The 22,963-nt window shown below is 57.7% G+C and overlaps 2 protein-coding genes across 9 annotated transcripts in view, besides 2 other annotated features; both read left to right on the top strand.

The window, feature by feature from the left end:
• Positions 2–19,875, top strand: COPE (coat protein complex I subunit epsilon). Of its 6 annotated transcripts, NM_001330469.2 has the most exons (11): positions 2–166; positions 6,343–6,405; positions 8,318–8,418; positions 12,277–12,429; positions 13,454–13,522; positions 13,760–13,813; positions 14,537–14,618; positions 15,966–16,121; positions 18,940–19,008; positions 19,442–19,516; positions 19,663–19,875. In NM_001330469.2, the coding sequence occupies exons 1-11, from the start codon at positions 41–43 to the stop codon at positions 19,708–19,710; spliced, it is 996 nt and encodes a 331-aa protein (NP_001317398.1). In that variant the 5' UTR covers positions 2–40; the 3' UTR covers positions 19,711–19,875. The 6 variants fall into 6 exon arrangements, with proteins under 6 accessions (NP_001317398.1, NP_009194.2, XP_011525958.1 ...); NM_007263.4 differs by lacking the exon at positions 13,454–13,522; XM_011527656.2 differs by lacking the exon at positions 15,966–16,121.
• Positions 80–269: a silencer, noted in NCBI's record as "silent region_10425". NCBI's record gives its function as "represses an Ori minimal core promoter by ATAC-STARR-seq in GM12878 lymphoblastoid cells {active_cell/tissue: GM12878}" and the evidence as "EXISTENCE:reporter gene assay evidence [ECO:0000049][PMID:35858748]".
• Positions 902–1,792: an enhancer, noted in NCBI's record as "H3K4me1 hESC enhancer chr19:19028406-19029296 (GRCh37/hg19 assembly coordinates)". NCBI's record gives its function as "activates a minimal SCP1, AML or CMV promoter by ChIP-STARR-seq in naive H9 embryonic stem cells {active_cell/tissue: H9 hESC(naive)}" and the evidence as "EXISTENCE:reporter gene assay evidence [ECO:0000049][PMID:30033119]".
• The window catches only part of CERS1 (ceramide synthase 1), a 28,438-nt gene continuing 27,881 nt past the window's right edge, over positions 22,407–22,963 (top strand). For 2 of the 3 annotated variants that reach the window (NM_001387442.1, NM_001290265.2), the window contains exon 1: positions 22,407–22,828. The gene's annotated coding sequence lies outside the window, so the exon portion shown is untranslated. The remainder of the gene's footprint in view (positions 22,829–22,963) is intronic. The other variant, NM_001387443.1, reaches the window with a different exon arrangement.

The following is a 22,963-nucleotide window of genomic DNA, read 5'->3' as shown; positions in this document are numbered from 1 at the left end:
CGTGTCTTTCAGGAAGAGGAGCTGGTGAGAAGACAGCGAAATGGCGCCTCCGGCCCCCGGCCCGGCCTCCGGCGGCTCCGGGGAGGTAGACGAGCTGTTCGACGTAAAGAACGCCTTCTACATCGGCAGCTACCAGCAGTGCATAAACGAGGCGCAGCGGGTGAAGGTGCGGCCGCGCAGGGGCGCGGGGACGCTGGGGGCGGAGGCGGAGGACGCTTTCTGGTGGCCGCGAGCCGCGTTCTGCGTCTAAAAACTTTCTCTTTTCTTCTCGCGTTTTTTGGGCCACCTCTTCCACAGTTCAGTGAGGAGTAGTCACTGTCCCGTGACAGAACCCAGAGCAGTAACAGTTTACGGTACTGCTCACTCGTACAGCGTTCTCTCTGCGCCCTTGAAAGTGTTTTGAGTAAGGGAGGTGTTTATGCCACTGTAGTGACAATAAGCCTATTTTGTTCAGCCATACCTTCAGTTCCCGTGAGATGGAGACTGTTGCTTATCCTCATTTTACGGATGAGAACCCTAAAGTTCAGAGAAGGACGTTTCCCTGCCCAACCAGCCTGGTTATTTCTCCCAGAGCTTACCCATTCATTCATTCATTCTTCATTGAGCACTTTTTTGGACGGGCACTGTATTCCGCTGGACTCAGAATGATAAACACAGTTTCCCAGCGCAGTGGCTCAAACGCCTGTAATTCTGGCGCTTTGGGAGGCCGAGGCGGGCAGATCGCATGCGCCCAGGAGTTCGAGACCAGCTTGGGCAACGTGGAGAAACCATGAGTCTACCAAAAATTAGCCGGGCGTGGTGGCGGGCACTTGTAATCTCAGCTACCGGGAGGCTGAGACAGGAGAATCGCTTCAACCCGGAGGCCGAGGTTGCAGTGAACCGAGATCGCGCCACTGCACTCCAGCCTGGGTGACAAAGTTGTAAGAATTAAAGAGGAAAGAAACACGAAAGGTGGCTTGCCAGTCAAGACAGGTTTATTTTAGAGAAAACAAACCTGAGAGGCGCCTTCTGGCGGAGTTGGGTCAGAGTAACACTCTTTTACAGACTAAGAGTTTTTAAGGATTCAGGGTCGGAGAGTTTATCAGAGGCTTGAACTGCTTCTGTGTCTCTTCGTTGTGCTTATCTGGGAGGGAGAGTTGTGTGTCTGTTCCCATACATCTTTCTTTTTTCTTTTCTTTTCTTTTCTTTTTTTTTTTTTTTTGAGATGGAGACTCGCGCTGTTGCCAGGCTGGAGTGCAGTGGCGTGATCTCGGCTCACTGCAACCTCCGCCCCCAGGTTCAAGCAATTCTCCTTTCTCAGCCTCTCGAGTAGCTGGGATTACAGGCGCGCGCCACCATGGCCCGGCTAATTTTTGTATTTTTAGTAGAGACGGGGTTTCACCATGTTGGCCAGGATGGTCTCCATCTCTTGACCTTGTGATCTGCCCGCCTTGGCCTACCAAAGTGTTGGGATTACAGGTGTGAGCCACCGTGCCCAGCCTCCCATACATCTTTCTGCAGCTGCAGGCATACCCCCCTACTCTGCTTTTAGCTTGCCTATTTTAGTGCACCTGAAGGGAAAGGAATGTGCTTATTAAGGCCCACTGTTTTACTGGGGCCCGTTGTATGAAGGTGAAGTTTGGCAGTTACCCAAGAAATTTTCTTCCCACTCTCTCTCTGTCCGAGCTGTCTTTCTGTGTTTTACTGTCTCCTCTTTCTGGCTGCTTGTAGTTAGAAGTGATTTCCTGGCCGGGCGCGGTGGTTCACACCTGTAATTCCAGCACTTTGGGAGGCGGGCGGATCACCTGAGGTCAGGAGTTCGAGACCAGCCTGACCAACTTGGTGAAACCCCGTCTCTACTAAAAAATACAAAAATTAGCCGGGCATGGTGGCAGGCACCTTAATCCCAGCTACTTGGGAGGCAGAGGCAGGAGAATCGTTTGAACCCAGGAGGTGGAGGTTGCAGTGAGCCAAGATCCAGCCATTGCATTCAAGCCTGGGGAACAAGAGCGAGACTTCTCTATTAAAAAAAAAGAAAAAAGAAATTTCCTTAAAATTCATGAGGCTAGAAAGGGGGCTGGAACTTAAAGTGGCAGTGTTTGTCTGAGATGTTGGTGCTCTTACTATGTCAAAAGTGAGACCCTATCTCAAAAAAAAAAAAAAAAAAAGAAAAAAAGAATGTTTCTAGTAGGCTTTCTTGTCTTCACCAGAACCCGCCACTGGAAAAAGAAAAAAAAAAAGGCAGAGGGAGATTTGAGACACAGAGATGATGGAAGCAGAGATGGGAGTAATGTGGCTACAAACTGAGGAATGTAACAGTCACCAAAAGCTGGGAGAGGCAGGGAAGTATCCTCCCCTAGAGCCTTTGGAAGGAGTGTGGCCCTGCTGACACCTTGATTTGGGACTTCTGGCCTCCAGGACTGTGACTGTGAAGGAATACTTTTTTTTTTTTTTTTTTTTTTTTTGAGACAGGATCTCACTCTGTGTCACCCAGGCTGGAGTGCAGTGGCATCCTCCTCCTCCTGGGTTCAAGCGATTGTCCTGCCTCAGCCTCCCAAGTGGCTAGGATTACAGGTGCCCACCACCACACCCAGCTAATTTTTTTTTTGTTTTTTTGTTTTTGAGATGGAGTCTTGCCCTGTTGCCCAGGCTGGAGTGCAGTGGCACGATCTCAGCTCACCACAACCTCTGCCTCCCGGGTTCAAGCAGTTCTCCTGCCTCAGCCTCCCTAGTAGCTGGGACTACAGGCGTGTGCCACCACACCCAGCTAATTTTTGTATTTTTCCTAGTGATGGGGTTTCACTGTGTTGGCCAGGCTCGTCTGTAACTCCTGACCTCATGATCCGCCTGCCTCAGCCTCCCAAAGTGCTGGGATTATAGGCATGAGTTACCGTTCCTGGCCTAATTTTTGTATTTTTAGTAGAGACAGGGTTTTATCATGTTGGTCAGGCTGATCTCGAACTCTTGACCTCAAGTGATCTGCCCGCCTCAGCCTCCCACAGTGCTGGGATTACAGGTGTGAGCCACCACGCCTGGCCAGGAATACTTTTTTTTTTTGAGACAGAGTCTAACTCTGTCACCCAGGCTGGAGTGCAGTGGCACAATCTCAGCTCACTGCATCCTCCGCCTCCTGGGTTCACACCATTCTCCTGCCTCAGCCTTCAGAGTAGCTGGGATTACAGGTGCCTGCCACCACGCCCAGCTAATTTTTGTTTTTTTGTTTTTGAGATGGAGTCTTGCTCTGTTGCCCAGGCTGGAGTGTAGTGGCATGATCTCAGCTCACCACAACCTCTGCCTCCTGGGTTCAAGCGATTCTCCTGCCTCAGCCTCCCGAGTAGGTGGGATTACAGGCGTGCGCCACCACACCTGGCTAATTTTTGAGGAATACATTTTTTAAGCCATCTGGTCTGTGGTAGTTCATGACAGTGGCCTGAGCAACCTCAGCCCCACCTGAGGTGGCCCCAGGGAGAGCACCTGGCAGTCTTTGCCCTTTGCTGCCCCCAGCACTAGGCTACCATCATGACGTTTCTGGGTTTCTGACATTTGCCAGTTTGCCCACAAGATGGCAGGCACCGCCCAGCTGTTGGGGTTGAAGCAGCTCATAGGCCTTGAGTTGCTGACGGCCCAGTGCGGTCAGATCACTGGCTACAGGGACAGAAGGGAGGAGTTACTACCCCCAAGGTTTCTGGCTACAGGGCCCCCATCCTGTCACCCGCCTTCCCAAACAGTACCCTGATTCCTCAACCATGGCCACATCTTAAGCCACCTGGGGCCAGTGCTGGGGCCATCCTAGGGCCAGGTGACCTTGGTGGATGTGGCCTCCTGGCTTTGGTGGTTCCTGGGCTCCCAGGTGATCGTAGTGAGCCCTTGGGGTTGAAGAGCAATGCTCTCCCACCCCGGGGACACACATGCGTCCTGATGGTAGGATCGTCCCTGGAAGTCGAGGAAAACCACAACGGTTCCAGAGCCTCACGTCAGGGTCACGGTCTGCACATTTGTTGTTGTTATGCTTCCCGGCACTCTTGTCTCTCCAGTGCACTCTGCAGCCTCTGAGCACTTCCGCACGCACAGTCTCCTGGGCACCTGCATTTCACACAGGGGCGGCTGAGGCCACCCTGGTGCCCCCGATGGCGCCCCACTGTGTCCTCACTTTGAAAGCCCAACAGCCAGCTTTTGTCTCTTTTTTTTCCCTAAAGATAGACAGGGTCTCACTCTGTCACCCAGGCCAGAGTGCAGTGCAGTGGCATGATCATAGTCCACTGTAGCCTCGACCTCCCAGGCTCAAGCGATCCTCCTTCATGAACCTCCTGAGTCGCTGGGACTACAGGTGCATGCTACCACACCTGGCTAATATTTATAATTTTTTTATGGACACAGGGTCTCAGACCGGGCACGGTGGCTCATGCCTGTAATCCCAGCACTTTGGGAGGCCGAGGCGGCTGGTTCACAAGGTCAGGAGTTCAAGACCAGCCTGGCCAATATGGTGAAACCCCATCTCTACTAAAAATACATATAGTCGCGGCTACTCGGGAGACTGAGGCAGAAAAATCTCTTGAACCCAGGCGGCAGAGGTTGTAGTGAGCCGAGATACACGCCACTGCACTCCAACCTGGGTGACAGAGCAAGACTCCATCAAAAAAAAAAAAAAAAAAAAGACTATGCTTTTTGCTATGTTGCCTATGCTGGTCTCAAACTCCTGGGCTCAAGCAGTGCTCCTGCTTTGGCCTCCCAAAGCACTGGGTTTACAGGTGTGAGCCACCACACCTGGCCTGTCTTTTTTAACTGAGGGTGGCATGTGGCCCTGGGCTAGTCACCTAACTGAAGTCCACCTCAGAAGGTTGATTGAGAGTTACTTATTTATTTTTTATTGAGATGGAGTCTTGCTCTGTCACCTAGGCTGGAGTGCAATGGCGTGATCTCGGCTTACTACAGCCTCTATCTCCCGGGTTCAAGTGATTCTCTTGCCTCAGCCTCCTGAGTAGCTGGGATTATAGGCGCCCGCCACCACACCTGGCTAATTTTTGTATTTTTAAGTAGAGGCGGGGTTTCACCATGTTGGCCAGGCTGGTCTGGAACTCCTGACCTCTAATGATCCACCCACTTCGGCCTCCCAAAGTGCTGGGATTACAGGCATGAGCTACCATGCCCGGCCTATAATATGTTTCTTTGCATACTTGAAAAGGTACATATTTCACCTGTCCATCCCATTTGCAGGTGGGGCTCGATTTCTGCAGCCACCACCCTCCGCATGCCTTTGACATTCTTCTAGGAGTTATTTATTTAGATGGCATCTTGTTCCAAATCATAGCCAGATACCCACTCTGGCTACCAGGGCCTGAGCAGAAGCTGCTGGGTCCTCTTGGCAATGGCAGCCTGAGTCAGGCTGGGGCCAGGTCTGCGGCGGCCTGGGATGAGGACACGTTTGACATCCACGCTCCTCCCTCAGGCTGGGGAGAAGGAAGAGATGTGGCTTGGAATCTGTGGTTCTCGGCTTCAGAGGACAGGGCAGAGTGACTCCCCCTGGTTTGGGCACTGGGTCCTTTGACCCTGTGCCTTGACAGCTGGCAGGCCCTCTTGCTGACAGCCTTCTCAGTCCCCTCTGTTTAGAGGTTGTTGGAGTGGCGATGCCAAGGTGGCTGGGCCCCTTCCCAACTGTACTTTCCTCTCGAAGCCCCCAGGGGCCTGGGCGAGCACCCTCAGGCCATGGGCTGAGCTGCACTGTGCCCACCTGCCATGGGCACCCTGGGAAGTCAGCCAGCCTCCGGGGGCAGCATGCAAAGCTGTGTTCTGGAGAGCGGTCCCAGCCTCCCTCCCTGGCCTGGGCTCAGGGGCAGCTTCATTATCATCCCAAAATGGATGTTGCCACAGGTTACCTCCCTCTTGCTCCTCAGTTCTGTGCAATGGCTGGGCTGTGGGGGTGTGGCCCAAGTACAGAGCCATTCCCAGGGTCTCCCCTGGCCAGGGCTGGGCACAGATGTCACCACACTGGGGCAGCCAAACTGAGCTCAAAATGTCTTGAGACAAAAGCAGAACAGAATCAAGCCACAGTGGCCCCATGTCCAGAGGTTAGAGGTGCGGGTGCCACCCTGGCTTCTTAAGTGTGACTGGGGCAGACACTGAACTTGGGAGCAAGCCTCCTTCCTGGGGTGGTGTCAGCGCGGGATGAGATCAGGCACCCCCCGTGTAGGGTACCCCCAGCAGAGGCCACTCGGGCTACGGAGGATCAGGGCTGGGACTCAGACCTCCAACCCTGCCGGAGAAGCCACCTGTCCCCAGTGTACAGGGGCCTGTCTGTCATGCTCACCCTGTGTGGGCTGCGCTGGGCCTCCCACTGTGCGTCCTGACTCACATTGGTTCCCACAGCTATCAAGCCCAGAGAGAGACGTGGAGAGGGACGTCTTCCTGTATAGAGCGTACCTGGCGCAGGTGAGTGCGGGCCTTGGCCGGGGGCAAGAGTGATGAACAGAGTAGAGGGTGGGGCTGGGGACAGGAAGGCACCACAGAGTGGGTGGCGGGGACAGTAAACAAAGCAGGGACCCAGGCCTGCAGTGTTCAGTGACTGTGAACAGCCAGCGCAGCCAGCATGTGAAGGTGGCTGTGTCACGGAGGCCTGAGACTGCCAGGCCAGGGGGCCTGGGTCACAGCTTCTTGATTTTTTTTTTTTTTTTTTTGAGACGGAGTCTCACTCTGTCGTACTCGATCTCAGCTCACTGCAACCTCCGTCTCCTGGGTTCAAGTGATTCTCCTGTCTCAGCCTCCCAAGTAGCTGGGACTACAGGCGTGCGCCACCACGCCTGGCTAATTTTTATATTTTTAATAAACACGTGGTTTCACCACATTAGCCAGGGTGGTCTTGAACTCCTGACTTCATGATCCACCTGCCTCAGCCTCCCAAAGTGCTGAGATTACAGGCGTGAGCCAACGCGCCCAGCCGATTTTTTTTTTTTTCCTAAAATAATTGGTAGGAGCCAGGCACAGTGGCTCACACCTGTAATCTTTGGGAGGCTGAGGTGGGAGGATCACTTGAAGCCAGGAGTTCAAGACCAGCCTGGGCAACATAGTGAGACCCCCGTCTCTACAAAAAAAAATTAAAAAATAAGACAGTCATGGTGGCATGTGCCTGGAGTCCCAGCTAATTGGGAGGCTGTGGCAGGAGGATCAGTTGAGCCCAGGAGGTCAAGATTACAGTGAGCCGTGATCACGCCATTGCACTCCAGCCTGGACAACATAGCAAGACCTTGTCTCTAAAAAAATAAGAATGGGGGCTGGGCCCGGTGGTTCACGCCTGTAATCCCAGCACTTTGGGAGGCCAAGGCGGGCAGATCACCTGAGGTCAGGAGTTCGAGACCAGCCTCAACATGGAGAAACCCTGTCTCTACTAAAAATACAGAATTAGCCAGGTGTGGTGGTGCATGCCTGTAATCCCAGCTACTTGGGAGGCTGAGGCAGGAGAATTACTTGAACCTGGGAGGCAGAGGTTTCGGTGAGCTGAGGTCACAGCATTACACTCCAGCCTGGGCACCAAGAGCGAAACTCCATCTCAAAAAAAAAAAAAAAAGGCCGGGCGTGGTGGCTCACACCTGTAATCCCAGCATTTTGGGAGGCCAAGGTGGGTGGATCACAAGGTCAGGAGATTGAGACCATCCTGGCTAACACAGTGAAACCCCGTCTCTACTAAAAATACAAAAAAATTAGCCGGGCGTGGTGGCGGGCGCCTGTAGTCTCAGCTACTCGGGAGGCTGAGGCAGGAGAATGGTGTGAACCTGGGAGGTGGAGCTTGCAGTGAGCCGAGATCACGCCACTGCACTCCAGCCTGGGCGACAGAGCGAGACTCCGTCTCGAAAAAAAAAAAAATGGGGAAGGAACCATCTAGGAGGGAACACAATGAGGGACGGGCCCCCAGCTGCAGATGTGACAGTGGTATCAGTCTGGGCATCCTCAGAGGGCCAGTAGGTGGGCAGGGCTGGCTGGGGGCATGTCCTGCTTTATAGAAGCGCATGTCACAACCCCCATAACTGCTGCTGCCCTGCCCCCAGGTGACACGCCCTTCACCTCACCACCAGAGGTGGACAGCTGCCAGGGGATAGACAGTAACCTACCAGGGTCCCTAGCTCAAGGCATGGGCAGTGTGGCCCTGCAGATGAGGGCACACCTGGCTGCTCACGACAGGTGACGCCATGCCACCCTCCACAGTGTACTGCAGTGGAGGTGGCCCATGCTGGGCTGAGGGGTCCCTGGTGGGGCAGGGACTTCCTGTCTGGGGCTCTCCCTGCCAAGCTGAAGACATGGAAATCCTCTGGGGTGGACGGGTGCAGCTGACGCCTCGTCCCTACTGCAGAGGAAGTTCGGTGTGGTCCTGGATGAGATCAAGCCCTCCTCGGCCCCTGAGCTCCAGGCCGTGCGCATGTTTGCTGACTACCTCGCCCACGAGAGTCGGAGGTGAGGCCCCAGAGAATGGGTTGGCCTGAGGCGCGGGGCCATCTTCAAGGCCTGTTGGTTATGAACCTGGGTGGGTGGGGGCATGGCGTGCAGCGCACAGCATCCCTCAGATTAGGCGCCTCTCCCCTCTGCTCCCCTGCTGCTTTGTGCCTCAGTTTCCCTCACCTGCACAGCAGTGGGGGGCTGGTGATGGATCCTGCTTCAAAGGGGAGGGTCAGAGACAGTGCTGTGTGTGCACACGCCCTCATGGACCACAAGGCACTCTCTGAACCTAGAACTGAAAATATCAATTACCGAGCAGCCCTCTGCAACACCCAGAGCCCCAAGACAGCCCAGGGCGCAGCGGGGGCAGGGCCCTCCCATCAGTTTTCTTATTTATTTATTTAGAGATGGAGTCTCACTCTGTCACCAGGCTGGAGTTGCAGTGGTGAGATCTCGGCTCACTGCAACCTCTGCCTCCTGGGTTCAAGTGATTCTTGTGCCTCAGCCTCCTGAGTAGCTACGACTATAGCTGCGTGCCACCACGTCCAGCTAATTTTTGTATTTTAGCAGAGACTGGGTTTCACCGTGTTGCCCAGGGTGGTCTCGAACTCCTGAGCTCAGGCGGTCTGCCCACCTCAGCCTCCCAAATCCTATCAGTTTTCTAGTCCCAGCTAGTTGGGGACTGCAACCTGCCAGTATCTCCCCTGGAGCCCAGTGGGAGGGTGGGTGAGGCCACGCCTGTCCTGCCCCTGAGCCACAGGCCAGCGTTGGTCAAACGCCCATGGGCGGCAGCCAAGGGGAGAGGGGGCTGGGCTGTGGGGACCCAGGAACCTTGCCCCCTCCTGCTGTGGGGTCGGAGTGAGGGTCTGGCATGGGGAGACTGCTGTGATCCTGCTCTTCCTTGGCCCACGGAGGCAGTGTCCCAACTACCGCCTCCCTTCACTCAAAGAAACCTGGGGTTCCTGGGAGCTGACTCCTGTGCAGAGGCAGCATGGTGGGGTGAATGGTGTCCCCCAAAAGGTACGTCCATATCCTATCCCACATGCTTGTGAATATGATATCATTTGGAAAAAGGGTCTTTGCCGATCAGATTAAGAGATAAGGAGATGAAGACATGCTGGATTTAGGGTGGGCCCCAAAGCCAAGGACTTGTGTCCTTTTAAGAGATAAAAGGAGGGCTGGGTGCAGTGGCTCATACTTGTAATCCCAGCACTTTGGGAGGACGAGGTGGGCAGATCACCTGAGGTCAGGAGTTTTCAAGACCAGCCTGGCCAACGTGGTGAAACCCCATTTCTATTAAAAATACAGAATTAACAGGATGTGATGTCTGTGATTCCAGCTACTTGGGAGGCTGAGGCAGGAGAATCGCTTGAACCTGGCAGGCAGAGGTTGCAGTGAGCCAAGATCGCACTAGTGCACTCCAGCCTGGGTGACAGCGGGAGACTGTCTTAAAAAAAAAAAAAAAAAAAGGAAAGAGGCCCACAGAGTTAAGCCCATGTGACAACAGACTGGAGTGACATGTCTGCTAGCCAAGGAGCACCACGAGTGGCCAGCAGCCACCAGAGCTGGGAGAGAGGCCTGGGACGGCCTTGCCCTCCAGCCTCCAGCTGGAGCCAGCCCTGCCGCCACCTTGACTTCAGACTTACGGCCTCCAGAGCTGTGAGGAACGAATCCCTGTTGTCCTTAACTGCCCGGGCTGTGGTGCTTTGCCACAGCAGCTCCAGGACATTGAGACAGGTGACCTCCCAGGGCCACTGTTTCTCCCACCCTGCACTTACTTCACCAGCTGGAGTGAAGGCAGGGAACCCTGGGTCCCCCAGGAGCAGCAGCTGCTGTGAGCATCACAGAAAAGCAGCCCCGGAGAGCAGGCGGTCCAGGCAGGGGCTTGTGGTCCGTTCATCTGGCTGCACAGCCGCGACCTCATTGGCAGGACGCCCCGGGGACAAGGAGCATCCATTAGTAATTGGTTTTGGTTTTGATTTTGTTTTCTTGAGATACGGTCTTGCTCTGTCGTTCAGCCTGGCATACAGTGGCACAATCTTGGCTTACTGCAGCCTTGATCTCCCAGGCTCAAGTGATCATCCCACCTCAGCCTCCCGAATAGCTGGGACTACAGGCACGCATCACCATGCCTGGCTAATTTGTATATTTTTTAGAGATGGGGTTTTGCCTGGCCGGGCGCAGTGGCTCACACCTGTAATCCCAGCACTTTGGGAGGCCGAGGCGGGCGGATCACGAGGTCAGGAGATGGAGACCATCCTGGCTAACACGTGAAACCCCATCTCTACTAAAAATACAAAAAAAATTAGCCGGGCATGGTGGCGGGTGCCTGTAGTCCCAGCTACTCGGGAGGCTGAGGCGGGAGAATGGCATGAACCCGGGAGGCGGAGCTTGCAGTGAGCCAAGATCGCACCACTGCACTCCAGCCTGGGCGAAAGTGCGAGACTCCGTCTCAAAAAAAAAAAAAGAGAGATGGGGTTTTGCCATGTTGCCCAGGCTGGTCTCAAACTCCTGGGCTCAAGCGATCCGCCCAGTAATTGATTTTGTTGCTGTTGCTTGTTTTTGAGATGGTCTCCCTCTGTCACCCAGGCTGGAGTGCAGAGGTGTGACCACAGCTCACCGCAGCTTCAACCTCCCGGGCTGAAGCCATCCTCCTGCCTCAGCCTCCCAAGTAGTTGGGACTACAGGCGCCACCAGGCCCAGCTGACTTTCTTACTTTTTTGTAGAAAAAGGGGTCCTACTATGTTGCCCAGGGTGGTCTTGAACTCCTGGGCTTAAGCGATCCTGCCTTGGCCTCCCAAAGCGCTGGGGTTACAGGTGTGAGCCACAGTACCCGGCCCCATTGGTAATTGTAACACCTTAGGATGACAACATTACAGTACCAACGCTACGACAACTGGCAGTGTTTATACACCCTTGTGTGCTGGAGCCTCAGGAAGCTTTGTAAGATGGTCTTGGGAGCTCCTTGCTCCTCCCCTGCATGATCCCTGTAACATGGTCCCTCAGCACGGGGAAACAGACTCAGACCTGAAGTCACTTGTCTGTTGGACCTGGCACTGTGGCGAGCCCTCAGTGGAGCCTGGTTGGTATCAGACATGCCATGCCCTCAGTGACACCTCAGACACGGGCCCTGGGCAGACAGCCCCCAGATGCGCGTGGATGCTTACGGGGTCACAGAGCCACGTTTGAACCCAGAAGAACACCAGCTTTGGTCTAGGGTGGCCCCCTCACCTGCCTTCTCTTTTTAGCTGCTCAATAGCCATGGGGAATGGAGGGTCTGGGTCCAGTTAGGGACATGGAGGCATGGGTGACCTGTGCCCTCGGAGCTGAGCCGGTCCTCAGCCTTGCCTGGGCTCAAGCCTGGCCCTGGCCCGCAGCACACTGGCCATCTTCAGGGTGCAGCCAGCACCCTGGGCTCTCAGGGACTGAGGGCAGCTGCCCTGGCAGTGGGGGTGCCCCAGGGCTCCCATCCTTCTGCACGGCCCCTCGGCACCCAGGCCGACCTCCTGCTAGAAGACGTGGCCTTGAAGCCCACAGGGTTGATGGGTTATGGTCAGGAGTCCCAGCTGGGCCCACCAGCCTCCTCAGGAAGGCGGGTGAGGTTGGTGTGAGACTGACGGTGCCTCCTCATGTCCCCTTGGAGCGCCCCACCCCACATCTCCCGGCCTCGGGTCCTTGCCTGGCCCAGCATGAGAGGTGCTTCATAGGAACGGAGGGAGGACATGTCGGGACAGCTCGATGCTCGGCCTGCTGCTGCTCTGCACCCCCAGGGCCTGGCTCACCCTCTCTGGACCTGTCTGCTTCCAAGGAAGGGGACCCTCTGAGGTCCCACAGAGGCCACCCCAGCTGTGGGTCGTGAGCATCTCTGTCTTGCAGGGACAGCATCGTGGCCGAGCTGGACCGAGAGATGAGCAGGAGCGTGGACGTGACCAACACCACCTTCCTGCTCATGGCCGCCTCCATCTATCTCCACGACCAGAACCCGGATGCCGCCCTGCGTGCGCTGCACCAGGGGGACAGCCTGGAGTGGTGAGTGGCCTCCCTGCTCTGGGGCCAGCCCAGGGAGGCAAGTGCCCCCTGCCACATCTCCAGGCTGCGCACGGCCTCGCTGGCTGTCGTCATGGGAGCAGAGAAAGGTGGTGCTGAAATGAGGCCCTGGCCTGCTGTCCAGGCTCCAGCTCCCCTGCCCAGTGTGGGAGGCACTCCCATCTGCGCACCAGGCTGCAGATCCAAGGACACGGTGCCCAGGCTGCAACCCTCTGTTCCCAAGGGCAGAGCAGAAAGCGGCTTTGTCTCTGCTCGGTTTCTGTGTCCCCACCCCCCACGAAGCCTTCTGTGTCTCGGCCCTGGGCCCAGTCTCTCAGGCCTCCCCGGGCCCCCCATACCGGCCCTCCTCCAGGGCCCTCTGGGGTTGGGGTGCTGAAGCCCTGCAAGGTTGGTGCCCCCCTCCACCCTAGGATGTGACTCCGGGCCATGTCCAGGGCACTGGTCACAGAAAGTGTGTCAGTTCTTCCCCGTGAGCTGTCCCTGCAGTGCCTGCCTTCCACTGTGAGTTGCAAGCTGGGCATTTCATGGTCGCTGTGGATCTGCTCCCATCCCACCTCCATCCACAGAGGGCTTAGAATTGCAGGGCGAGCCAGGCATGGTGACATGCACCTATGTTTCCAGCTACTTGGGAGGCGGAAGCAGGAGTATCCCTTGAGTCTGGGAGGTGGAGGCTGCAGTGAGCCGTGATGGTGCCACTGCACTCCAGCCTGGGTGGCAGAGCCAGACCCTGACTCACACACAAAAAAGAAAATAAATAGGGATGTCACACTGTCGGCGAGCCGGCCGACTCGGTGCTGGTCCAGGTGCTGGCTCCTGTTGGCAGGAAAACAAGAACAAGAGGCCTCACGAGTAATTCGTGGTCACAGCCACCTGGGGCTGAGAGGGATGAGGGGACGAGGGGGCCTGCAGAGAGTGGGTGGCCCCAGGGCTCTGCTGCAGGTGCAGGTGCAGGGGCGGGTGCGTGGCCCTCCTCTAGGGCCTTGTTCCTGAGTGTTGATGCCTCCAGGGTGTCGAGTCCGGGCAGGGCCCTCCATCTGGAAGCACAGCCCATGGAGGCTGCTTCTCCAGATGGGCGGTGAGTGGGCCGGGGCCTGAAACCCCATCCTGGGTACCTCCCCCAGAGCTCCTGGGCCTGAGGAAGCTGAGCGGTGAAATGTGGGAGTGAGGGTGTCCTCCTCTGCTGGGCGGGGCTGGTGGTCCTAAGCACAGGACTTAGGAACATCCCAGACACACACAGTGAGCCCTGGGTGTGGAGCGGCCATGCAATGTGTCTGTGGCGACCCGCTGACCGCCCCCTCGCCCTGTCCTGCAGCACAGCCATGACAGTGCAGATCCTGCTGAAGCTGGACCGCCTGGACCTCGCCCGGTGAGCCCTCCTGCCCCTCTCCACCCGCACTGAGCCACAGCCCAGAGCGTCACAGCCCAGAGCGTCACAGCCCAGAGCGTCTGTGGTGCTGTCATTACTCTTGTTGTCTTTCCTTTCCATGGGGGTGGCTTGCTGTCGTTCAGCCCTTCCCTGCAGTATGTTGCCAGGGAGGAGGGCCATGGCTCTCTGTGCCTCAGTTTCTCTCTATGCAGTGGGTGGCAGGCCTCTCCCACAGGGTGAGGGTGGGCTTCATGGAGGGAGAGTGGAGGTTGTGCCTGGAGCAACATGTTACTTGACCAGCTTGTAACTGTGCCGTGGGGCTGGCGGGGCCTGCACGTGGCATCACCAGGTCGGAGGCCATGGCTGGGGGTCCAGGACTCCCCTGCTGCCGTTTCCAAAGCCCTTGCCTCAGAGTTGTTCACACTGTAGTTCCGTTGCCCTTCCCTGCGTTCCATCCTCCATGGAGTGAGTCTCTCCTGAGCTCTACCTTGTGGTGGCCACCCTGGGGGGCCATAGCTGGCCCCAGTCCCACCTTCCCAGGGCCTGCACGTGGTCAGACGGGCAGGGTGGCTCGGGCACTTAGTCGTGGGGTATGAGCATGCAGTGGAGCACAAAGCAGGGGCCATCCCCAGGCTCCGGTGGGCCCCAAGTGGGGACAAGGCAGGGATGGCCAGGCCAGGGCCCTCGGCCACTCAGCCCCTCTGTCATCTGTCCCCGCCCCAGGAAGGAGCTGAAGAGAATGCAGGACCTGGACGAGGATGCCACCCTCACCCAGCTCGCCACTGCCTGGGTCAGCCTGGCCACGGTGAGCCCTAGGCCATGAGGTGGGTGGGCATTGCGGGCACCTGGCTGAGCAGGGTCTGTGGGCACCCCCACCTGTGCGTAGGCTGCTGGCCACTCCAGTGGGGCTCCAGGATCAGGCCGTGGCCCCTGCCAGCCTGGCATAACTCAGCCTTGACTCCATTCCGGGCTTCTCACAGCCAAGCGACTTGGCCAGAGCCAGAGCGAAGAGATGGTGGGGGCGGGGACGGGTTCCTGAGCCTGAGGCACAGGGGTACTCGAGGGTCTGGGTTGGCCTGGCAGGCCCTCCTCCCCTCAGGGCTTCCTGGGGTTTTCTGCGACTCAGCTTTGCTCTCCAGGGTCCTGGTCGCCAGCCAGGGACGGAGTTCAGTGTTCCCATAGCAGCGGTGGAGATGTCCTCAGCTCCCAGGCCTGGGCACCTCCGCCCGGCAACAGCCCCTCTCCTGGTTTCTGGGACTTGGCCCCCTTCTGAGCCACTCTTTTGTGTGGGCCTATTAAAATGTGCTTCCTGGCTGGTCGCAGTGGCTCACGCCTGTAATCCCAGCACTTCGGGAGGCCGAGGCGGGTGGATCATGTGAGGTTGGGAGTTCTAGACCAGCCTGACCAACATGGAGAAACCCCATCTTTACCAAAAATACAAAATTAGCTGGGCTTGGTGCCATGCACCTGTAAACCCAGCTACTCAGGAGGCTGAGGCAGGAGAATCGCTTGAACCCGGGAGGTGGAGGTTGCGGTGAGCCAAGATCGCGCCAGTGCACTCCTGCCTGAGCAACAAGAGTGAAACTCTGAGAAAGAAAAAAAAATGTGCTCCCCGTCCCTGCCCGCCACGGGGCTGAAGCCTCACCCAGACAGACTTCCAGTGACCGTCTAGTATGGTAGGACAGGCCCCGGCAGACCTATCGGGTAGTTTGGGCTGTTTTCACTGCCTGCCTTGGCCTCAGGCTCCCCCTGCAAGTGTTCTGCTGTTCTGAGCAAGTGGACAGGTCAGGGCTGCTGGTCACAGAGCTGACTCCTCCTCCTCTGACGTGCTCAGTGACCCAGTGGTCCCCACTCAGACCCTGAGCCAGCCACCTGTGCACTGAGGCCTTGGAAGCCCCAGATTCCACCTCTGTGTACTCAGCACTCCGGGAGCTGGGTGGGAGGTGGGGCAGGAGGCGGCCACGAGTCTTTAGGCCCCATCAGCAGAGTACAAGTTACGGGTAGTCCCCATGGCGGAGTGGCTGTGCCTTGAACCGGGCACACCAGATTCGTCTCTGTGCAGTGCTGGAGTCCCCCCCGCTAGGGGAGGGGGCTGGCGGGGGAAGGGCCGGGCAGCAGGGGCACAGGCAATGATGCGGGACCCTCCCTGCAGGGTGGTGAGAAGCTGCAGGATGCCTACTACATCTTCCAGGAGATGGCTGACAAGTGCTCGCCCACCCTGCTGCTGCTCAATGGGCAGGCGGCCTGCCACATGGCCCAGGGCCGCTGGGAGGCCGCTGAGGGCCTGCTGCAGGAGGCGCTAGACAAGGTAGGCACAAGCCTGTCCCAGAGTGGGGACGGAGGGAAGGCCAGGCGGCCAGAGGGTGGGGTCAGGGCGGACAGAAACAAGTGTAGCAGAGACCCCCTGGGTGTGCGTGTGGCCCCACAGGGCTTCTAAGGCCCAGTCAGCAGCGAGATCCACAAAGCAGGGATCTCACCTGCAAAGAAATCCAGATTCCGGCCTCACAGAAATGGGGCATCTGGGCAGCCTGGGCCTCAGTGGTCTGAGCCGTCCTTGTTGTCACCTCAGCTGCCTGGCCCGGGACCTGCAAGTGGGACCCCTCACCTGAGTACATACTCAGTATTGGAGAGACACTCCCCGTACTTATGTAGGGGAGAGTGTGCTGTGGACAGGAGCTCTTCGTTGAGAGAGCGCTGCCTGCCCAGGGTGGCTGCAGTCATCTCCTGCCTGATGTCTGCAGTCTTTTCTTCCTTCCTTCCTTCCTTCCTTCCTTCCTTCCTTCCTTCCTTCCTTCCTTCCTTCTTTCCCTTCCTTCCTTCCTTCCTTTCCTTCCTTTCCTTCCTTTCCTTCCTTTCCTTTCCTTCCTTTCCTTCCTTTCCTTCCTTTCCTTTCTTCTTTTTTTTTTTTTTTGAGATGGAGTCTCACTCTGTCACCCAGGCTGCAGTGCAGTGGTGTGATCTCAGCTCAATGCAACCTCCGCCTCCTGGGTTCAAGTGATTCTTTTGCCTCAGCCTCCCAAGTAGCTGGGATTACAGGCGGCTGCCACCACGCCTGGCTAATTTTTGTATTTTTAGTAGAGACGGGGTTTTGCCATGTTGGTCAGGCTGGTCTCAAACTCCTGACCTCAGGTGATCCACCCGCCTCAGCCTCCCAAAGTGCTGGGATTATAGGCGTGAGCCACCACGCCTGGCCATCTGCAGTCTTTATGAAGAGTTTATGTTATGTTAAATTAAAAATATATATATATTTTGTAAAGACGGGGTTGTTCTTGCTGTGTTGCCCAGGTTGGTCTCGAACTCCTGGCCTCAAGTGATCGTCCCACCTCAGCCTCCCAAAGCATTAGGATTATAGGTGTGAGCCACCATGCTTGGTGGATTTTTTTTTTTTTTTTTTTTGAGATGGAGTCTTGCTCTGTCGCCCAGGCTGGAGTGCAGTGGTGTGATCTCGGCTCACTGCAAGCTCTGCCTCCTGGGTTCATGCCATTCTCCTGCCTCAGCCTCCCGAGTAGCTGGGACTACAGGCGCCCACCACCATGCCCAGCTAATTTTTTGTATTTTTAGTAGAGATGGGGTTTTGCTGTGTTAGCCAGGATGGTCTCAATCTCCTGACCTCATGATGCTGCCCACCTTGGACTCCCAAAGTACTGGATTACAGGCGTGAGCCACTGTGCCCAGCCTGGATTATTATTTTTATAATCAGAAAGGACATCAAAGCTTTTTCCATTTTGGAGAAACGAATTTTGGGGGGTTTTTTGTTTGTTTTTTGAAACGGTATGCCACCATGCGTGGCTAATTTTTGTATTTTTTGTTAGAAATGGGGTCTCACTGTGTTGTCCAGGTTAGTCTTGAACTCCTGGGCTCAAACAATTCTCACCCTCCTTGGCCTTCTAAAGTGCTGGGATGATAGACATGCGCCAGTGCGCCCAGCTGAGAAACAGTTTTAATCTAGTGACAAACACTGGTGAAGCCCTCCTCCCTGTCTGACTTTCCAGGGGCTGAGTTATCATCAGAAAGTTGTTTGCAGAGCGGGGCTGGCCAAGGGGTATCAGGCTGGCCCCATCACAGGCCGGGTACTGCTCCTCCTGAGCAGGGTCCATCTTTAGCTCTGAGCAGTCAGGGCTAGTCAGGAACTCCCAGCCTGATGTGCAATCTCAGACAGGCTGTGTGTCCCTCGCTGCCCCAGGGGCAAGACTGGCGCCCTCCTCCACCACCCTGCCCCTCCCTGCCACCTGAGAACACTTGGATGCATGTTGTGTTCATGGCCGCATCCTCTGGGGGCTTTTGTTACACCTCTCAGGTGACACGTTCCGTGACTCACCAGTTAGATGACTCCCTTCTGTCCTTGTCTCTTGAAACACCACCTGGGGCTGGCTGGCCGTGCCCCTTGGCCCTGGTGGCCTCCCCGTGGCTGTGGTCACCCTGCATTCTTGCTGGGTTTTGGGAGGCACTCAGGTCCCCCCACTTCCCTTTGGAGCCACCTCATGGCTGCTCCTGTGAGCGCAAGCTGGTGTCCCCCTTCATGGTGGAGACTGAGGCTCAGAAAAGTCCGGTCTGCAAAAAGGTGCCCTGCCATGGGCCGCCGTGGGCAGGTCGGGCTCTGGGCGCATCCTCGTTGGTGTGTCTGTGCTCCAAGCAGACACCAGGGCTCTGGCTGGGTCTCCTGGCCTAGATGTTTCCTAGGGTCCTGTGTGCTGGGAGCCTAGAGTGAGTGAGTCAGGCAAGGTCCCCTGCCGAGGTCTCCTTCAAGGCTCCTTGGGAGCTGGTGCAGGGGTGGCAGGTCTGCCCATGGCCTCGGGGTTCGTTGTACAGCAGGAGTTGAGGCCATCTGGGTCTGGGCCCCATGGCTTTGAGATGTGTGGGACAAATACAACCTTCCCAAGTCTCTGTAAACAAGGGGTCGTACCCCAGGCTGGACTACAGATGGGGAAACTGAGGCTCAGCGAGGCGGCTGGCCCCTTGGCACCGTATCATCTGAGATCTCCACCTTGCAGAGCGGTGGGCGGTGTCAGTCCCACCCCACCTCTGAGGAGGTGACCTTGTGTGGTGCTGCCTGAGGTGGGGGTGACGGGCAGGCATGGGGGCTGGAGTGGCTGACCCTGCCTCCCCGTGTCTGCCTGTGTCTCCAGGATAGTGGCTACCCAGAGACGCTGGTCAACCTCATCGTCCTGTCCCAGCACCTGGGCAAGCCCCCTGAGGTAAGCGGCCCCCAGGGCTCCAGGCCAACCCTAATGTCCAGACCCTGGGACCCCAGCCTGGGGTCCAGGCCCTAATCCCTAGGCCCCTGGGAAAACTCTGTATACAGTATGCCTACCGCAGCCCACCTCCCTCACAAACCCTGTGCCCCCCAACCCATCCTCACCTGGGGCCCTGCCCGACCTGCTCCCCTGAACACCACAATACATCCCCCACCATGTACGGAGGCCAGCTCCATGCCAGCGCCTCTCCAGGGGGCAGGCCCATCCCTCCACCCCCACCCTGAAGGTTCTCCGAGATCAGCCCAGTCCCAAGGCAGGGTGAGGAGCCCCCTGGGGTACTGTGGCTCTCACCCCAATCCACCCCTGTCCAGCAGGTCAGAGCCACCGTGGGGTCCCCGTGTTCGGCTCACCTGCCTCCCTGCCTCCCCTGCAGGTGACAAACCGATACCTGTCCCAGCTGAAGGATGCCCACAGGTCCCATCCCTTCATCAAGGAGTACCAGGCCAAGGTGAGTGGTGGGGATGGCCTGTCCCCGAGAACCAGGCCAGGGGGCGCCTGGAGCTCAGCCTGGGCTCACATGCGCCCTCTCTCTCTCCCTCCACCTGTCTCCCCACACCCTGCCCCCACCCTGTGTTGCCATGTGTCTTGCTAAAGGAGAACGACTTTGACAGGCTGGTGCTACAGTACGCTCCCAGCGCCTGAGGCTGGCCCAGAGCTGTCAGGACCATGAAGCCAGGACAGAGGCCAGGAGCCAGCCCTGCAGCCCTCCCCACCCGGCATCCACCTGCATCCCCTCTGGGGGCAGGAGCCCACCCCCAGCACCCCCATCTGTTAATAAATATCTCAACTCCAGGGTGTTCCACCTGATGATGTGCTCTGGTCACTTTGCTGGGGGCGTGTGGGAGCTGACGCTCAGGGAGAGTCCTGGGGCACTGGCATCCAGGGCTGTTCCTGGAGACCAGGGTCTGTGACGAGCAGCAGGTGTGCAGACCCCCACCCCGCCCCTCACACAGCCACAACCTGCTCCTGCAGGCCAGAGGCAGCACAGCCCTGTCCCCATGCTTCACCCTGGCCCCTAGAGGCCACTGAGCAGCCCTGGTTGGCATCGGGGGAAACTGAGGCACAGAGAAGTCATGCCGCTATCATGAGGGGCACCAAGATTCAAAATGAGAACCCCTAGTGGCCTGGAGGAAGTGGGGGCCAGGGCAGGAAAAACTCAGGCCTCAGCTCAGCAAAGCCGGAGGGGCCCTGCAGGGTCAGCGTTAACCCCAGGTGCTGCTCCTGCCGCCCCGCAAACCCTCCTCCAAGGCAGAGTCCTGCTGTGGCAGGGTCCTGGGGCCAAGCACCCAGCCGCGATGAGAGGCGGCCGCACCATTTAGGGAGGGAGGTGGGTGGGTGGCAGCAGGGCTGGCCGGAGCCTCCCAGATGTCACCATTGAGCTGTGCCCACCCGAACAACAAAAAGGAGCTGCCAGGCTAGGTTCTAGGGGGACAGGCACCCTGGCAGTGGGCATGACCGGTGCAGAGGTCCCTCGGTGGCACAGGGCTGTGAGGTCAAGGGGCGCTGGATGGGGATGCATGCCCTTTGACCTCTGAGCCTGGCCTGGGCTTATCTCCCAGGGAAAAGATAAGACTGGGTTTCCCCAAGCCACACCCAGGCCTATTCATTTGAAACCAGACCCCGTCTCTGGTTGCCAGGGCAGGACAGCAAGCGACCCCCACCCCCAGCCTGGTAGGGGAGGGAAGTGGCAAAAGAGGACTCCCTGGACAGGGACATTAGGAGGGGTCCAGGCCGAGCTTTCTGGAGGGAGGAGACCTTGGGGTGGGTGGGGGGACACTGGCCTCAAGACTGACCTCCGCCCAGCCTTGGGTGCCTGGTCCCCAGCTGCCAGTAGAGCCGCCTTCCATTCCTGCCCTGCACCCACCCGTTGGCAGCCTCCTGGCTGGACCCGCCAAAAAGAAATTCGAGGCTGAGCTGGGGCTAGTGGGTGGGTGGGTGGCGCCTCTCCCGTGACCGATGGGCGCCATGGTGACCAGATAGTGCTGGCCGAGAGGGTGGAGGGAGGTGGCTGGGACTGTCCACGGCTGCCCCACAGGCCTGGCTGGACCTTTGAGAGCATATCCCCCTCGTCCCCCTCTGCCTGCCAGGCAGGTTGTGGCGTTAGTCACATCTCTGGCCTCCGGCTGGACCTGAACTATTGGCCAGGCCAAGCCTCGTGCCCCACCCCTACACTAGGCCCCTAGTCCACATGGAGTCCACGTTCAAGAATAAAGAGTGGGGCCAGGCACGGTGGCTCATGCCTGTAATCCCAGCACTTTGGGAGGCCAAGACAGGCAGATCACTTGAGGTCAGGAGTTCGAGACCAGCCCGGCCAATATGGCAAAACCCTGTCTCTACAGAAAATACAAAGATTAGCTGGGTGTGATAGCAGGCGCCTGTAATCCCAGCTACTCGGGAGACTGAGGCAGGAGAATCCCTTGAACCTGGGAGGCGGAGGTTGCGGTCAGCTGAGATTGCGCCACTGCACTCCAGTCTGGGCAACGGAGCAAGACTCCAACTCAAAAAAAAAAATGAGCTGTATGTATGTAGGGGCAGATGGTGACAAGTGCCAAGCAGACATGAAGACATGAGGGGCGTGTGACTTCAGAGTCGGGGGCAGCCTGAGCAGGTGGCAGAAGAGCCATGCAGGTACCTAGGGGAACAGCATTTCAGGAGGGGGGAACAGCTAGTGCAAAGGCCCTGAGGCAGGACAGAGCTTGGCATGTTGGAAGAACAGCAGAAAAGCCCACAGGCGGAGGGAAACAGGGCGCTGTGAGGGCAGCCAGTGAGGACTTGGGCTTTCCCTGAGTGGAACAGGAGCCATAGAGGGCTGCAAGCAGACGAGGAACAGGCCAACAGCGTCGCAGCCACCTTCTCACCTCTGTGGGGTGAGGAGGAAGCCAGGATACCAGACGGAAGAGGGTAGTGGTGGTAGTGGTGGTGGTGGCGGGGAGCGGGGGGCAAGGCTGTGCAGATGCAGAGAAGTGGCCAGATGCAGGGCCACCTGGATGTGTTGTGGGGGACTCGGTGTGGGGCAAGGGGAAGGTGTGTTCACCTGTGCCCCTGAAGTTCAGGTGCAGGTGTTCGGGAGCCAGCGCGGCTGCTGCAGGACTCATCCCTGCATCCTGCACCTTGAAGGCCAGGTGTGGGGACATCCTGCGGGCTAGGATGGAGGGGGGGTGCAGCAGTGCCTGGGGAGATGGCGGTCCTAACAGAGGTGACCAGTGTCTTCCTCGATGGCCTTCAGTGGCTTTGGGCACAGGGCCTTGTCAATGAACAGTGCATTGGAAAGTCACTTATGGTGGTCCCAATGATGTCACAGTCGATCCAGATTGGGAGTCCCTCCCACGTTGGCACCCACTCCTGCAGCCTCTCTGCAACTCATGTATTAACCTGATGTTGGGGAGCCCCCCCCCCGGGTTCCCCAGGGTCACAGCAGCAAGTGACCCTCAGAGAACCCCCTAATCTCAGCAGCCCCCATCACACCTTTGTCCCAGTAGCCCGCTGTGCAGACCTGCAGAAGAAGATGCCTGGGAAGTGCCCAGGGTACCCGCGTCCAAGCTGGAACCCCATTGCCAAGCTCCTGGTGTAGGGCAGAGAGCTGCGTCTCCACTAGGTGCGCCTCCCAACGCCCTGGCGTGGGCCGTGTCCTTTTGAAGAATGAGAATGTTTCATTGAGCCTACGCCTCCTGAATGCGGGAGGGCCACGGGATGGTCCCAAGACTGTGCCAAGGCGTGCCAGGCCTCGGGTCCTTGAGAAGGAGCGAGGGCTCCAAGAACGGTGAGGTCGGAGCGGGCCGGGGCGATGGAGCGGGAGCGGCGTGGCGTGCTGGAGGGCCGGGAGAAGCGGGGGTCGCCAGTCGAGGGGACTGCCTGCTAGTGTCCCCCGTGCCCCCCGTCACGGGCACGGCGCGGT

The sequence above is a fragment of the Homo sapiens genome, chromosome 19, assembly GCF_000001405.40.
Source record: "Homo sapiens chromosome 19, GRCh38.p14 Primary Assembly".
NCBI lineage: Eukaryota > Metazoa > Chordata > Mammalia > Primates > Hominidae > Homo > Homo sapiens.
This window is presented reverse-complemented; position numbering and strand designations above follow the sequence as displayed.

Coding starts and splice junctions, on each gene's coding strand:
- COPE (NM_001330469.2), top strand. CDS start 41: ATGGCGCCTCCGGCCCCCGGCCCGGCCTCCGGCGGCTCCGGGGAGGTA. Junction 6,406..8,317: donor ATAGAGCGTACCTGGCGCAG/GTGAGTGCGGGC, acceptor TCCCTACTGCAG/AGGAAGTTCGGTGTGGTCCT. Junction 14,619..15,965: donor CCTGGGTCAGCCTGGCCACG/GTGAGCCCTAGG, acceptor CCCTCCCTGCAG/GGTGGTGAGAAGCTGCAGGA.